At 47.3% G+C, this 16580-nt stretch overlaps 3 protein-coding genes across 3 annotated transcripts; all 3 read left to right on the plus strand.

The window, feature by feature from the left end:
* The first annotated feature begins 4061 nt into the window (after positions 1–4061).
* USP17L10 (ubiquitin specific peptidase 17 like family member 10) lies at positions 4062–5654 on the plus strand. The gene has a single exon (NM_001256852.1). The coding sequence runs from the start codon at positions 4062–4064 to the stop codon at positions 5652–5654; it is 1593 nt and encodes a 530-aa protein (NP_001243781.1).
* A 3155-nt stretch (positions 5655–8809) lies between these two features.
* On the plus strand, positions 8810–10402 carry USP17L11 (ubiquitin specific peptidase 17 like family member 11). The gene has a single exon (NM_001256854.1). The coding sequence runs from the start codon at positions 8810–8812 to the stop codon at positions 10400–10402; it is 1593 nt and encodes a 530-aa protein (NP_001243783.1).
* Positions 10403–13556: 3154 nt separating this feature from the next.
* USP17L12 (ubiquitin specific peptidase 17 like family member 12) lies at positions 13557–15149 on the plus strand. The gene has a single exon (NM_001256853.1). The coding sequence runs from the start codon at positions 13557–13559 to the stop codon at positions 15147–15149; it is 1593 nt and encodes a 530-aa protein (NP_001243782.1).
* The last annotated feature ends 1431 nt before the right edge of the window (positions 15150–16580 follow it).

Genomic DNA, 16580 nt, shown 5'->3' on the forward strand with positions numbered 1-16580 from the left:
GGAGAAACACCAGAATTCTGTCCCTCTGAGAATGCCGGACAGGTTTACCTTCATCAGCATAAAATTTTGGAACAAATGTGGTAACTGCAGGTTCTCCCCACAATGAGTAACTGAAAATTGAGGCAGTATTTCAGATCTTAAAAAACTGATGAAGTGATTCGCCACACATTTGGGTTGTTTTTGCCTTTTCCTACTATGAAGAGGGCTAGTAGGAAGAATGGTGTATAAGTATCTGTTTGATTCCCTGCTTTTAGAATCCTTTGCTTGTTTGTGTGTTTGTCTGTTCCTTCTTGAGACAGGATGTCACTCCAGTCAGCCAGGCTTTTCCAGTGTGTAATTTTTGTTGTTTCCTTTTGTCAAGTTTTAGAAGTTGTTATTTTATTTCTATTGAATTTTAAGGCATTTTTAGATATGTATTAAAACATTATCACACATGCCGTGTGTTACATTGCAATTATTTTCATCGTTCCTTTAAGAAACAAAAGGTTTTAGCTTAGATATCTTCCAATTTGTGAAGCTTTTCTGATTTTGACTTTTTAAAAAATGCTGTCATATACAAGAAACCCTTGGATTAAAAATGCCATGAATATTTCTCTTTTCTTGCAGTCATAACTTCGGTGGATGTCATCAATTAGTCTCTGGGTTATAGCATGTTTTCTTGAAAGTGTTTCACAATCTATTTTGGGCACTGAGAATTTCATCAAACTTAAGTGAATGTTTCTACATTCACTATTGAGGGGAATAGTACATTTGATGCTTTATTATTTGCATATCTTGCTTCCAAAAGACAATTTCATGCAAAGACTTGTCTTCTCCCCAATGCCAGATCATTACAACATGATATGGAATCAACTGGCCAAAAATGGGAAGGTTATCTCTGGAATGTCTATTTGACTCCATTGATCTCTCCATCTTAATTAAGACAAAGAATATGCTGTATTAATTACATAACATTGCTGCAAATTCTCAAGTCAGAAAGTGTAGTTATAACTTCTTGTCATTTAGTCGCTGAAAGAATGATCTTATCTCACAGATGCACATGCTTGGAAGTACTTCTCAAAGCATACACACACATCCAGAAACAAACACACAAATACACACATACACACAAACTGTTTAACATGTACACAATTGTTAACTAGCATTGTTTTACATGAAATAAGGCAAATGTTTAGCCCTATCCTAACCCGGTTCCACTTCTATCATATTTGCCCGTAATACTGACAAGTAAATCTGCTTCAACTCTTCCATAATCACAATGTAAGCTGTGTCCATTAAATTCTCTGAGGAATGCAAGAGGATACAACCTAAGACAAAAAACTTAATTGAATCCTGATATTTCATTCGTAAATAGGGTAATTGATGGATAAATGTAATGGTCTCGGTGAGTGGACAGTAATTATATAAGGGCTGATGCAGCAAGATACTTAATTATTTAAAGGTGTTTCAAAGAAATTGAAACACAAGAGTGGGTGTATTCAACTAAAATAAAATCAGAAAGCCCTGAAATAAATCACATTTTGGAGGTAAAAAAATGACATTAGAGGAGATTCTGGGTCAATCATCCAGCTGTGAAAGTTGCATCTTGGAAGCAGGATCCCTGTAATGCAATGACACTTGTTTATCAGTGGTGGTCTTCCAGTGGAAAAGATTTTGAAGAATGAATCCTTCCTTTTGTTATTTGAAGATAAAATTTCATGCCAAATCTTGGGTTTTAAACTCTATTTAAACGTTAACAGAATTAAATAAAATGGCGAAAAACCAAGAGATTATTTGATTTGGAATCATCACATATGCATTTTTTGTTAGGTACAGTTATCAAAGATGACCTACCGGAGAGACACAACTGTGGAGAATGGACCCGTACTTTTGTATATTTGCTGATTAGATTTCATAGTCCATTTCTCATTAGGTACAGAGATCAAAGTTGATCTACACAAGAGTAGAGAGGTCCAGGACAGAACTCAGGGCTCCGTAGAACCACAGAATTTTGGGGGCAACATTGCTCAAGAACAAAAATGTGCTTATTCAGAGTGTTTCTGTGTGACATGTGTGTGAACTACAGTGCAATGAGCATGACACGCAGGCAGGATATCAATTCGGCTCCCCTCAAAAGCTGTTATGAGCATTAAAGGACACCAATGCCTAGTTCCCGGTTAAAACGATAAGACTCTCGCACACCCTGTGGGAAGCCACGGCATCTGGATTGCTCATGCTTCTGGGGATCATTTTCCTGAAAATCGTGGCTGCTTTCTCCCTGTGTAGCATCTTTCTAAGCAGTGCTCCTTTCTTCCCACAGGAAACTTTACATCAGGCACAGGAAGCTTTCTGATGGAGCACACCTGGCCCATGAAAAGACAAGGGAAAGAAATGGGGCCAAAGGTCACACTCCTCTCATTCCATCATACTCCTTAAAATCATCCTAATTTCATGGGTCCTGAAGCCAGGGCTGTTTCTTTACACCTAGAGGCCTTGGCGCCGGGCCTCAATTCTGCCCTGTTGCTTACTCTCTAAGACATGTTGGGAAAGTCCCAAGAGCCAGGATCTTCATTCCTGGTAAGGCAGACAGAATGAAGACACACCAAAATTCTGTCCCTCTTAATTCAGGGAACGTGTCCACTTTCGTCAGAATTAAAATTTTTGCACCAAATGTGCTAACTGGAATTCCACCATACAATGCATAACTGGAAATGGAGGGAAAATCCCAGATCATGAACAATCAAAGCGAGAATCCAGGAGACACACGGCTTATTTTGGCCTTTTCCCACTGAAACAAGGACCAGTATTAAAAATGGTATGCTATACTCTGTTTCACTCCCTGCTTTTAAACGTCTCCGATGTTTCTTCTTGAGACAGGGCCTCACTGCCGTCCGCCGGGCTATCTAGAGTATAATTTTCAGTGTTTGCTTTTGTCAACCTTAGAACATTTTATTTCGTCTCTATGAAATGTTGATCCATTATCACATACACATGGAAATATTATCACCCACGGTGTCAGATACGTTGTTTTTATTTTCATCACTTCAAGAAAAAAAAGGGTATAGTTGGGATACCTTCTGATTTCTCAAGATTTTTCTTTCATATTTTCTTAAACTGCCGTCGGACGTCAGAAACTACTCACTATACAATGTCGTGACAATCTACATTTTCGGGCAAACACAAATTTGGGGAATGTCATCAAATAGTCTCCCGCTGATTGCATGATTCCACAAAGTCCTACACAGTCTACATTGTGCACTGAGTATCTCTTCAAACTTCAGTGCTTCTTTCTACCATATGATGCTTTATCATTTGGCAATCTAGCTTCCACAAGAGCATTTCATGCAAACACTTGTCTTGTTGTCCACTGGCAAGTAATTCAACACGGATAGAGAATCAATAGGCTCAACGTGGAAAGGTTATCGCTGGAAGGTCTGTTTGATTCCACGGATCTCTCCTTTCTCATTAGGGAAGAAAATACGCTGTGCTAAATATTATACTTCATTGACTATTCTCAGGTCAGAAAGCACACTTCCGAATTCTTGTCCTTCGGTCACTGAGAGGATGATGGTAGCTGCCAAAAGTACATACTTGGAAGTTCATCCCAGCACAAACACACATACACACACGCCCCCCCCCACACACACAAACACACTCACACACACACACACACACACGGTTTCCAAGGTAAAGATTTCTTCCCTGCCATTGCTTTACCTAAAATAAGGCAACTGTGTGGCCACTGTCCCAACCCGGTTACACTCCTATTATATGTGCTTATCATCCTGAGGAGTAATCTGATTCAGGTGTTCTGGAAGTCATGATGTGGGCTGTGTCTGTTGAATTCCCAGCGATGCAAGGGGACACACCCTGTGACTCCTTCCTGAATTGAGTGCTGATATTTGATTGGCTAATCGCGCACCTGATGAGTGGGTGGGGTGTTCGCGGTTGGTGTGGGTGAGTTATAGAAGGGCTGATGCGGCCAGAGAGCTCGTCATTTGAAGACTCTCTCGGAAGAGATAGCGTCTTTCTGCAACCTGCGGTCCCAGCAGAAAAACCTTGTGATCCTTGTTCCAGTCGACATGGAGGACGACTCACTCTACTTGGGAGGTGAGTGGCAGTTCAACCACTTTTCAAAACTCACATCTTCTCGGCCAGATGCAGCTTTTGCTGAAATCCAGCGTACTTCTCTCCCTGAGAAGTCACCACTCTCATGTGAGACCCGTGTCGACCTCTGTGATGATTTGGCTCCTGTGGCAAGACAGCTTGCTCCCAGGGAGAAGCCTCCTCTGAGTAGCAGGAGACCTGCTGCGGTGGGGGCTGGGCTCCAGAATATGGGAAATACCTGCTACGTGAACGCTTCCCTGCAGTGCCTGACATACAAACCGCCACTTGCCAACTACATGCTGTTCCGGGAGCACTCTCAAACGTGTCATCGTCACAAGGGCTGCATGCTCTGTACTATGCAAGCTCACATCACAAGGGCCCTCCACATTCCTGGCCATGTCATCCAGCCCTCACAGGCATTGGCTGCTGGCTTCCATAGAGGCAAGCAGGAAGATGCCCATGAATTTCTCATGTTCACTGTGGATGCCATGAGAAAGGCATGCCTTCCCGGGCACAAGCAGGTAGATCGTCACTCTAAGGACACCACCCTCATCCACCAAATATTTGGAGGCTACTGGAGATCTCAAATCAAGTGTCTCCACTGCCACGGCATTTCAGACACTTTTGACCCTTACCTGGACATCGCCCTGGATATCCAGGCAGCTCAGAGTGTCCAGCAAGCTTTGGAACAGTTGGTGAAGCCCGAAGAACTCAATGGAGAGAATGCCTATCATTGTGGTGTTTGTCTCCAGAGGGCGCCGGCCTCCAAGACGTTAACTTTACACAACTCTGCCAAGGTCCTCATCCTTGTATTGAAGAGATTCCCCGATGTCACAGGCAACAAAATTGCCAAGAATGTGCAATATCCTGAGTGCCTTGACATGCAGCCATACATGTCTCAGCAGAACACAGGACCTCTCGTCTATGTCCTCTATGCTGTGCTGGTCCACGCTGGGTGGAGTTGTCACAACGGACATTACTCCTCTTATGTCAAAGCTCAAGAAGGCCAGTGGTATAAAATGGATGATGCCGAGGTCACCGCCTCTAGCATCACTTCTGTCCTGAGTCAACAGGCCTACGTCCTCTTTTACATCCAGAAGAGTGAATGGGAAAGACACAGTGAGAGTGTGTCAAGAGGCAGGGAACCAAGAGCCCTTGGCGTAGAAGACACAGACAGGCGAGCAACGCAAGGAGAGCTCAAGAGAGACCACCCCTGCCTCCAGGCCCCCGAGTTGGACGAGCACTTGGTGGAAAGAGCCACTCAGGAAAGCACCTTAGACCACTGGAAATTCCTTCAAGAGCAAAACAAAACGAAGCCTGAGTTCAACGTCAGAAGAGTCGAAGGTACGGTGCCTCCCGACGTACTTGTGATTCATCAATCAAAATACAAGTGTCGGATGAAGAACCATCATCCTGAACAGCAAAGCTCCCTGCTAAACCTCTCTTCGACGACCCCGACAGATCAGGAGTCCATGAACACTGGCACACTCGCTTCCCTACGAGGGAGGACCAGGAGATCCAAAGGGAAGAACAAACACAGCAAGAGGGCTCTGCTTGTGTGCCAGTGATCTCAGTGGAAGTACCGACCCACACGTAGGGGTGCATACACACACACACACACACACACACACACATAACTACACCCAGAAGCGCGCACGCAAACACACACACACCCACACAAACACGAACACCGTCAATCCTACATAAACTAATGAGGAGCCCAAGTTTCTGTCTGTACAACAGGGACAACTGGATAGAGATGGCTACATCTCAGGATGAGCCCGCATATGGGAAACATCAAGTTTTGGGGTCGTGAGTCTTCCGAACCTCTGGAGGGACTGTCTGAGTGTTTGTGTTCATGATAGGTGACATTCAGTGTGTATTTATGAATATGACCTACCGACGTGTAGGTTTGCGTGTGAGGTAATTGCAGGGGACTCGGTTTCGTATTTTCTCTTGGGGTGTGTTTCATTCGACAGTTGTTGGTCGGCACGAGAAGGTGAAATTTGGCTCATGTGGGACATCCGTGGATCATTCTCGCCACCTTGAATAGTGGAAACTGGAATGCATTTGGAAGAGAAGAACGGTGCTCTTCTTTCTTCCCCGGGCTCGCCGTTTTTACACTAGTTCCTGAATGGACCTCAGGCGCCCTGGGACTTGTGCTCTTGCTGGAACCCACATAACGCCGGAAGCAGACAGACCGACTTGCCTGTTTCACGGTGCCCGCTTCCCATGAGTCCAAACGGAAAATTTTCCCACGGGCATGTAAGTCATCTGGAAGTAAGCTGTATTGATAATAAAGGAAAGCAAACACAGGAGTGTGTGTATTCAACAGAAATAAATTCAGAAAGCCCTGAAATCAATCTCACTGGGTGTGTTTAAAAATGGCATTTGGGGAATTTCTGGGTCATTTGTCCAGCTGCGAAAGCTGCATCTCTGAAGCACAGTCCCTGTCCCGCAGTGAGACTTATTTATCCGACGTGGTGTTTCCGTGGAAATGATTGTGGGAAATGGCCCCTTCCTTTTCTCTATTTGCTGACTAGACTTCATGGTCCCTTTCTCGTCAGGTACAGTGATCAAAGTTGACCAACCCCAGAGGAAAGCTGCCCAGGGCACAACTCAGGGCTCCATAGAACCACAGAATCTTGGGAGCAACCCTGCTCAAGCACCCAAATGTGCATACGAACAGGGTCTCCGTGTGACGTGTGTGAAAACTACAGTGTGATGAGCATGACTGGCAGACAGCTTATCGATTGGGCTCCCCTCAAAATCGGTTATGAGCATTCAAGCACACCGATGCCCAGGTCCCGGCTGCAGGAATAAGACCCTCCAGGGTCTTGTGTGAAGCCTCGGCATCTGCATTGCTCATGCTTCTGGGGATCATTCTCCTGAAAATGGTGGCTCCTTTCTCCCTGTGGAGCATCTTTCTAAGCAGTGCTCTTTTCTTCCCCCAGGACACTTTACATCCGGCACAGGAAGCCTTCTGATGGAGCACACCTGGCCCATGAAAAGACAAGGGAAAGAAACGGGGCCAAAGGTCACAGTCCTCTCATCCCATCATCCTCCTTAAAATCATCCTAATTTCATGGGCCCTGAAGCCAGGGCTGTTTCTTTACACCTAGAGGCCTTGGCGCCGGGCCTCAATTCCGCCCTGTTCCTTACCGTCTAAGACATGTTGGGAAAATCCCTAGAGCCAGGATCTTCATTCCTGCTAAGCCAGACAGCCGGAAGACACACCCAAATTCTGTCCCTCTTACTTCAGGGAACATGTCCACTTTCGGCAGCATTACAATTTTGGCACCAAATGTGCTAACTGCAATTCCACCATACAATGCGTAACTGGAAATGGAGGCAACATCTCCGATCCTGAACGATCGATGCGAGAATCCAGGATATGCACGGCTTATTTTGGCCTTTTCCCACTGAAACAAGGGCCAGTATTAAAAATGGCACGCTATCCTCTGTTTCACTCCCTGCTTTTAAACGTCTCCGATGTTTCTCCCTGAGACAGGGCCTCACTTCCGTCAGCCGGGCTTTTCTACGGTATAATTTTCCTTGTTTGCTTTTGTCCAAATTAGAACTTTTTATTTCACCTCTAGGAAACGTTGATCCATTATCACATACGTATGGAAATATTATCACACATGCTGTGAGATACGTTGTTTTTATTTTCATCAATTCTTTAATAAACAAACGGTTATAGCTGGGATACCTTCTGAGTTCTCAAGTTTTTTGTTTCGTGTTTTCTTAAACTGCCGTCGCACGTCCGAAACCGCTCACTATGCAGTGTCATGACCGTCTCTCTTTTCTGGCAAACATAAATTTGGGGATTGTCATCAATTAGTCTCTCGGGGATTGCATGATTTCCCCAAAGGCTTTCACAGTCTACTTTGTGCACTGAGTATCTCTTCAAACTTCAGTGCATGTTTCTACCATTTGATGCTTTATTATTTGGCAATCTAGCTTCCACAAGAGCATTTCATGCAAAGACTTGTCTTCTTCTCCACTGGCAGGTAATTTCACTTGGACAGAGAATCAATAGGCTCAACGTGGAAAGGTTATCGCTGGAAGGTCTGTTTGATTCCACGGATCTCTCCTTTCTCATTAGGGAAGAAAATACGCTGTGCTAAATACTATACTTCATTGACTATTCTCAGGTCAGAAAGCGCACTTTCGACTTCTTGTCCTTCCGTCGCTGAGAGGATGATGGCAGCTGCCAAAAGTACATACTTGGAGGTTCATCCCAGCACAAACACACACACACACGCGCCCCCCCCACACACACACACACGAACACAATCACACACACACACTCACACGGTTTCCTACGTAAAGATTTCTTCCCTGCCATTGCTTTACCTAAAATAAGGCAACTGTGTGGCCACTGTCCCAACCCGGTTACACTCCTATTATATGTGCCTATCATCCTGAGGAGTAATTTGATTCAGGTGTTCTGGAAGTCATGCTGTGGGCTGTGTCTGTTGAATACCCAGCGATGCAAGGGGACACACCCTGTGACTCCTTCCTGAATTGAGTGCTGATATTTGATTGGCTTATCGCGCACCTGATGAGTGGGTGGGGTGTTCGCGGTTGGTGGGGGTGACTTACAGAAGGGCTGATGCGCCAGAGAGCTCGTCATTTGAAGACTCTCTCGGAAGGGATAGCGTCTTGCTGCAAACTGCGGTCCCAGCAGAAAAACCTTGTGATCCTTGTTCCAGTCGACATGGAGGACGACTCACTCTACTTGGGAGGTGAGTGGCAGTTCAACCACTTTTCAAAACTCACATCTTCTCGGCCCGATGCAGCTTTTGCTGAAATCCAGCGGACTTCTCTCCCTGAGAAGTCACCACTCTCATGTGAGACCCGTGTCGACCTCTGTGATGATTTGGCTCCTGTGGCAAGACAGCTTGCTCCCAGGGAGAAGCTTCCTCTGAGTAGCAGGAGACCTGCTGCGGTGGGGGCTGGGCTCCAGAATATGGGAAATACCTGCTACGTGAACGCTTCCTTGCAGTGCCTGACATACACACCGCCCCTTGCCAACTACATGCTGTCCCGGGAGCACTCTCAAACGTGTCATCGTCACAAGGGCTGCATGCTCTGTACGATGCAAGCTCACATCACACGGGCCCTCCACAATCCTGGCCACGTCATCCAGCCCTCACAGGCATTGGCTGCTGGCTTCCATAGAGGCAAGCAGGAAGATGCCCATGAATTTCTCATGTTCACTGTGGATGCCATGAAAAAGGCATGCCTTCCCGGGCACAAGCAGGTGGATCATCACTCTAAGGACACCACCCTCATCCACCAAATATTTGGAGGCTACTGGAGATCTCAAATCAAGTGTCTCCACTGCCACGGCATTTCAGACACTTTTGACCCTTACCTGGACATCGCCCTGGATATCCAGGCAGCTCAGAGTGTCCAGCAAGCTTTGGAACAGTTGGTGAAGCCCGAAGAACTCAATGGAGAGAATGCCTATCATTGTGGTGTTTGTCTCCAGAGGGCGCCGGCCTCCAAGACGTTAACTTTACACACCTCTGCCAAGGTCCTCATCCTTGTATTGAAGAGATTCTCCGATGTCACAGGCAACAAGATTGCCAAGAATGTGCAATATCCTGAGTGCCTTGACATGCAGCCATACATGTCTCAGACGAACACAGGACCTCTCGTCTATGTCCTCTATGCTGTGCTGGTCCACGCTGGGTGGAGTTGTCACAACGGACATTACTTCTCTTATGTCAAAGCTCAAGAAGGCCAGTGGTATAAAATGGATGATGCCGAGGTCACCGCCTCTAGCATCACTTCTGTCCTGAGTCAACAGGCCTACGTCCTCTTTTACATCCAGAAGAGTGAATGGGAAAGACACAGTGAGAGTGTGTCAAGAGGCAGGGAACCAAGAGCCCTTGGCGCAGAAGACACAGACAGGCGAGCAACGCAAGGAGAGCTCAAGAGAGACCACCCCTGCCTCCAGGCCCCCGAGTTGGACGAGCACTTGGTGGAAAGAGCCACTCAGGAAAGCACCTTAGACCACTGGAAATTCCTTCAAGAGCAAAACAAAACGAAGCCTGAGTTCAACGTCAGAAAAGTCGAAGGTACCCTGCCTCCCGACGTACTTGTGATTCATCAATCAAAATACAAGTGTGGGATGAAGAACCATCATCCTGAACAGCAAAGCTCCCTGCTAAACCTCTCTTCGACGACCCCGACACATCAGGAGTCCATGAACACTGGCACACTCGCTTCCCTGCGAGGGAGGGCCAGGAGATCCAAAGGGAAGAACAAACACAGCAAGAGGGCTCTGCTTGTGTGCCAGTGATCTCAGTGGAAGTACCGACCCACACGTAGGGGTGCACACACACACGCACACACACAGACACACACATAACTACACCCAGAAGCGCGCACGCAAACACACACACACCCACACAAACACGAACACCGTCAATCCTACATAAACTAATGAGGAGCCCAACTTTCTGTCTCTACAACAGGGACAACTGGATAGTGATGGCTACATCTCAGGATGAGCCCGCATATGGGAAACATCAAGTTTTGGGGTCGTGAGTCTTCCGAACCTCTGGTGGGACTGTCTGAGTGTTTGTGTTCATGATAGGTGACATTCAGTGTGTATTTCTGAATATGACCTACCGACGTGTAGGTTTGCGTGTGAGGTAATTGCAGGGGACTCGGTTTCGTATTTTCTCTTGGGGTGTGTTTCATTCGTCAGTTGTTGGTCGGCATGAGAAGGTGAAAGGTGGCTCATGTGGGACATCCGTGGATCATTCTCGCCACCTTGAATAGTGGAAACTGGAATGCATTTGGAAGAGAAGAACGGTGCTCTTCTTTCTTCCCCGGGCTCGCCGTTTTTACACTGGTTCCTGAATGGACCTCAGGCGCCCTGGGACTTGTGCTCTTGCTGGAACCCACATAACGCCGGAAGCGGACAGACCGACTTGCCTGTTTCACGGTGCCCGCTTCCCATGAGTCCAAACGGAAAATTTTCCCACGGGCATGTAAGTCATCTGGAAGTAAGCTGTATTGATAATAAAGGAAAGCAAACACAGGAGTGTGTGTATTCAACTGAAATAAATTCAGAAAGCCCTGCAATCAATCTCACTGGGTGTGTTTAAAAATGGCATTTGGGGAATTTCTGGGTCATTTGTCCAGCTGCGAAAGCTGCATCTCTGAAGCACAGTCCCTGTCCCGCAGTGAGACTTATTTATCCGACGTGGTGTTTCCGTGGAAATGATTGTGGGAAATGGCCCCTTCCTTTTCTCTATTTGCTGATTAGACTTCATGGTCCCTTTCTCGTCAGGTATAGTGATCAAAGTTGACCAACCCAGAGGAAAGCTGCCCAGGGCACAACTCAGGGCTCCGTAGAACCACAGAATCTTGGGCGCAACCCTGCTCAAGCACCCAAATGTGCATACGAACAGGGTCTCCGTGTGACGTGTGTGAAAACTACAGTGTGATGAGCATGACTGGCAGACAGCTTATCGATTGGGCTCCCCTCAAAATCGGTTATGAGCATTCAAGCACACCGATGCCCAGGTCCCGGCTGCAGGAATAAGACCCTCCAGGGTCTTGTGTGAAGCCTCGGCATCTGCATTGCTCATGCTTCTGGGGATCATTCTCCTGAAAATGGTGGCTCCTTTCTCCCTGTGGAGCATCTTTCTAAGCAGTGCTCTTTTCTTCCCCCAGGACACTTTACATCCGGCACAGGAAGCCTTCTGATGGAGCACACCTGGCCCATGAAAAGACAAGGGAAAGAAACGGGGCCAAAGGTCACAGTCCTCTCATCCCATCATCCTCCTTAAAATCATCCTAATTTCATGGGCCCTGAAGCCAGGGCTGTTTCTTTACACCTAGAGGCCTTGGCGCCGGGCCTCAATTCCGCCCTGTTCCTTACCGTCTAAGACATGTTGGGAAAATCCCTAGAGCCAGGATCTTCATTCCTGCTAAGCCAGACAGCCGGAAGACACACCCAAATTCTGTCCCTCTTACTTCAGGGAACATGTCCACTTTCGGCAGCATTACAATTTTGGCACCAAATGTGCTAACTGCAATTCCACCATACAATGCGTAACTGGAAATGGAGGCAACATCTCCGATCCTGAACGATCGATGCGAGAATCCAGGATATGCACGGCTTATTTTGGCCTTTTCCCACTGAAACAAGGGCCAGTATTAAAAATGGCACGCTATCCTCTGTTTCACTCCCTGCTTTTAAACGTCTCCGATGTTTCTCCCTGAGACAGGGCCTCACTTCCGTCAGCCGGGCTTTTCCACGGTATAATTTTCCTTGTTTGCTTTTGTCCAAATTAGAACTTTTTATTTCACCTCTAGGAAACGTTGATCCATTATCACATACGTATGGAAATATTATCACACATGCTGTGAGATACGTTGTTTTTATTTTCATCAATTCTTTAATAAACAAACGGTTATAGCTGGGATACCTTCTGAGTTCTCAAGTTTTTTGTTTCGTGTTTTCTTAAACTGCCGTCGCACGTCCGAAACCGCTCACTATGCAGTGTCATGACCGTCTCTCTTTTCTGGCAAACATAAATTTGGGGATTGTCATCAATTAGTCTCTCGGGGATTGCATGATTTCCCCAAAGGCTTTCACAGTCTACTTTGTGCACTGAGTATCTCTTCAAACTTCAGTGCATGTTTCTACCATTTCATGCTTTCTTATTTGGCAATCTAGCTTCCACAAGAGCATTTCATGCAAAGACTTGTCTTGTTCTCCACTGGCAGGTAATTTCACTCAGATAGAGAATCAATAGGCTCAACGTGGAAAGCTTATCGCTGGAAGGTCTGTTTGATTCCACGGATCTCTCCTTTCTCATTAGGGAAGAAAATACGCTGTGCTAAATACTATACTTCATTGACTATTCTCAGGTCAGAAAGCGCACTTTCGACTTCTTGTCTTTCCGTCGCTGAGAGGATGATGGCAGTTGCCAAAAGTACATACTTGGAAGTTCATCCCAGCACAAACACACACACACACGCGCCCCCCCCACACACACACACACGAACACAATCACACACACACACTCACACGGTTTCCTACGTAAAGATTTCTTCCCTGCCATTGCTTTACCTAAAATAAGGCAACTGTGTGGCCACTGTCCCAACCCGGTTACACTCCTATTATATGTGCCTATCATCCTGAGGAGTAATTTGATTCAGGTGTTCTGGAAGTCATGCTGTGGGCTGTGTCTGTTGAATTCCCAGCGATGCAAGGGGACACACCCTGTGACTCCTTCCTGAATTGAGTGCTGATATTTGATTGGCTTATCGCGCACCTGATGAGTGGGTGGGGTGTTCGCGGTTGGTGGGGTTGACTTACAGAAGGGCTGATGCGCCAGAGAGCTCGTCATTTGAAGACTCTCTCGGAAGGGATAGCGTCTTTCTGCAACCTGCGGTCCCAGCAGAAAAACCTTGTGATCCTTGTTCCAGTCGACATGGAGGAAGACTCACTCTACTTGGGAGGTGAGTGGCAGTTCAACCACTTTTCAAAACTCACATCTTCTCGGCCCGATGCAGCTTTTGCTGAAATCCAGCGGACTTCTCTCCCTGAGAAGTCACCACTCTCATGTGAGACCCGTGTCGACCTCTGTGATGATTTGGCTCCTGTGGCAAGACAGCTTGCTCCCAGGGAGAAGCTTCCTCTGAGTAACAGGAGACCTGCTGCGGTGGGGGCTGGGCTCCAGAATATGGGAAATACCTGCTACGTGAACGCTTCCTTGCAGTGCCTGACATACACACCGCCCCTTGCCAACTACATGCTGTCCCGGGAGCACTCTCAAACGTGTCATCGTCACAAGGGCTGCATGCTCTGTACGATGCAAGCTCACATCACACGGGCCCTCCACAATCCTGGCCACGTCATCCAGCCCTCACAGGCATTGGCTGCTGGCTTCCATAGAGGCAAGCAGGAAGATGCCCATGAATTTCTCATGTTCACTGTGGATGCCATGAAAAAGGCATGCCTTCCCGGGCACAAGCAGGTGGATCATCACTCTAAGGACACCACCCTCATCCACCAAATATTTGGAGGCTACTGGAGATCTCAAATCAAGTGTCTCCACTGCCACGGCATTTCAGACACTTTTGACCCTTACCTGGACATCGCCCTGGATATCCAGGCAGCTCAGAGTGTCCAGCAAGCTTTGGAACAGTTGGTGAAGCCCGAAGAACTCAATGGAGAGAATGCCTATCATTGTGGTGTTTGTCTCCAGAGGGCGCCGGCCTCCAAGATGTTAACTTTACTCACCTCTGCCAAGGTCCTCATCCTTGTATTGAAGAGATTCTCCGATGTCACAGGCAACAAGATTGCCAAGAATGTGCAATATCCTGAGTGCCTTGACATGCAGCCATACATGTCTCAGCCGAACACAGGACCTCTCGTCTATGTCCTCTATGCTGTGCTGGTCCACGCTGGGTGGAGTTGTCACAACGGACATTACTTCTCTTATGTCAAAGCTCAAGAAGGCCAGTGGTATAAAATGGATGATGCCGAGGTCACCGCCTCTAGCATCACTTCTGTCCTGAGTCAACAGGCCTACGTCCTCTTTTACATCCAGAAGAGTGAATGGGAAAGACACAGTGAGAGTGTGTCAAGAGGCAGAGAACCAAGAGCCCTTGGCGCAGAAGACACAGACAGGCGAGCAACGCAAGGAGAGCTCAAGAGAGACCACCCCTGCCTCCAGGCCCCCGAGTTGGACGAGCACTTGGTGGAAAGAGCCACTCAGGAAAGCACCTTAGACCACTGGAAATTCCTTCAAGAGCAAAACAAAACGAAGCCTGAGTTCAACGTCAGAAAAGTCGAAGGTACCCTGCCTCCCGACGTACTTGTGATTCATCAATCAAAATACAAGTGTGGGATGAAGAACCATCATCCTGAACAGCAAAGCTCCCTGCTAAAACTCTCTTCGACGACCCCGACACATCAGGAGTCCATGAACACTGGCACACTCGCTTCCCTGCGAGGGAGGGCCAGGAGATCCAAAGGGAAGAACAAACACAGCAAGAGGGCTCTGCTTGTGTGCCAGTGATCTCAGTGGAAGTACCGACCCACACGTAGGGGTGCACACACACACGCACACACACAGACACACACATAACTACACCCAGAAGCGCGCACGCAAACACACACACACCCACACAAACACGAACACCGTCAATCCTACATAAACTAATGAGGAGCCCAACTTTCTGTCTCTACAACAGGGACAACTGGATAGTGATGGCTACATCTCAGGATGAGCCCGCATATGGGAAACATCAAGTTTTGGGGTCGTGAGTCTTCCGAACCTCTGGAGGGACTGTCTGAGTGTTTGTGTTCATGATAGGTGACATTCAGTGTGTATTTCTGAATATGACCTACCGACGCGTAGGTTTGCGTGTGAGGTAATTGCAGGGGACTCGGTTTCGTATTTTCTCTTGGGGTGTGTTTCATTCGTCAGTTGTTGGTCGGCATGAGAAGGTGAAAGGTGGCTCATGTGGGACATCCGTGGATCATTCTCGCCACCTTGAATAGTGGAAACTGGAATGCATTTGGAAGAGAAGAACGGTGCTCTTCTTTCTTCCCCGGGCTCGCCGTTTTTACACTGGTTCCTGAATGGACCTCAGGCGCCCTGGGACTTGTGCTCTTGCTGGAACCCACATAACGCCGGAAGCGGACAGACCGACTTGCCTGTTTCACGGTGCCCGCTTCCCATGAGTCGAAACGGAAAATTTTCCCACGGGCATGTAAGTCATCTGGAAGTAAGCTGTATTGATAATAAAGGAAAGCAAACACAGGAGTGTGTGTATTCAACTGAAATAAATTCAGAAAGCCCTGCAATCAATCTCACTGGGTGTGTTTAAAAATGGCATTTGGGGAATTTCTGGGTCATTTGTCCAGCTGCGAAAGCTGCATCTCTGAAGCACAGTCCCTGTCCCGCAGTGAGACTTATTGATCCGACGTGGTGTTTCCGTGGAAATGATTGTGGGAAATGGCCCCTTCCTTTTCTCTATTTGCTGATTAGACTTCATGGTCCCTTTCTCGTCAGGTACAGTGATCAAAGTTGACCAACCCCAGAGGAAAGCTGCCCAGGGCACAACTCAGGGCTCCGTAGAACCACAGAATCTTGGGCGCAACCCTGCTCAAGCACCCAAATGTGCATACGAACAGGGTCTCCGTGTGACGTGTGTGAAAACTACAGTGTGATGAGCATGACTGGCAGACAGCTTATCGATTGGGCTCCCCTCAAAATCGGTTATGAGCATTCAAGCACACCGATGCCCAGGTCCCGGCTGCAGGAATAAGACCCTCCAGGGTCTTGTGTGAAGCCTCGGCATCTGCATTGCTCATGCTTCTGGGGATCATTCTCCTGAAAATGGTGGCTCCTTTCTCCCTGTGGAGCATCTTTCTAAGCAGTGCTCTTTTCTTCCCCCAGGACACTTTACATCCGGCACAGGAAGCCTTCTGATGGAGCACACCT

Source organism: Homo sapiens, chromosome 4 (assembly GCF_000001405.40).
Source record: "Homo sapiens chromosome 4, GRCh38.p14 Primary Assembly".
NCBI lineage: Eukaryota > Metazoa > Chordata > Mammalia > Primates > Hominidae > Homo > Homo sapiens.

Bases quoted from the DNA above. Each gene is read 5' to 3' on its own strand.
- USP17L10 (NM_001256852.1), top strand. From the start codon at position 4,062: ATGGAGGACGACTCACTCTACTTGGGAGGTGAGTGGCAGTTCAACCAC.
- USP17L12 (NM_001256853.1), top strand. From the start codon at position 13,557: ATGGAGGAAGACTCACTCTACTTGGGAGGTGAGTGGCAGTTCAACCAC.
- USP17L11 (NM_001256854.1), top strand. From the start codon at position 8,810: ATGGAGGACGACTCACTCTACTTGGGAGGTGAGTGGCAGTTCAACCAC.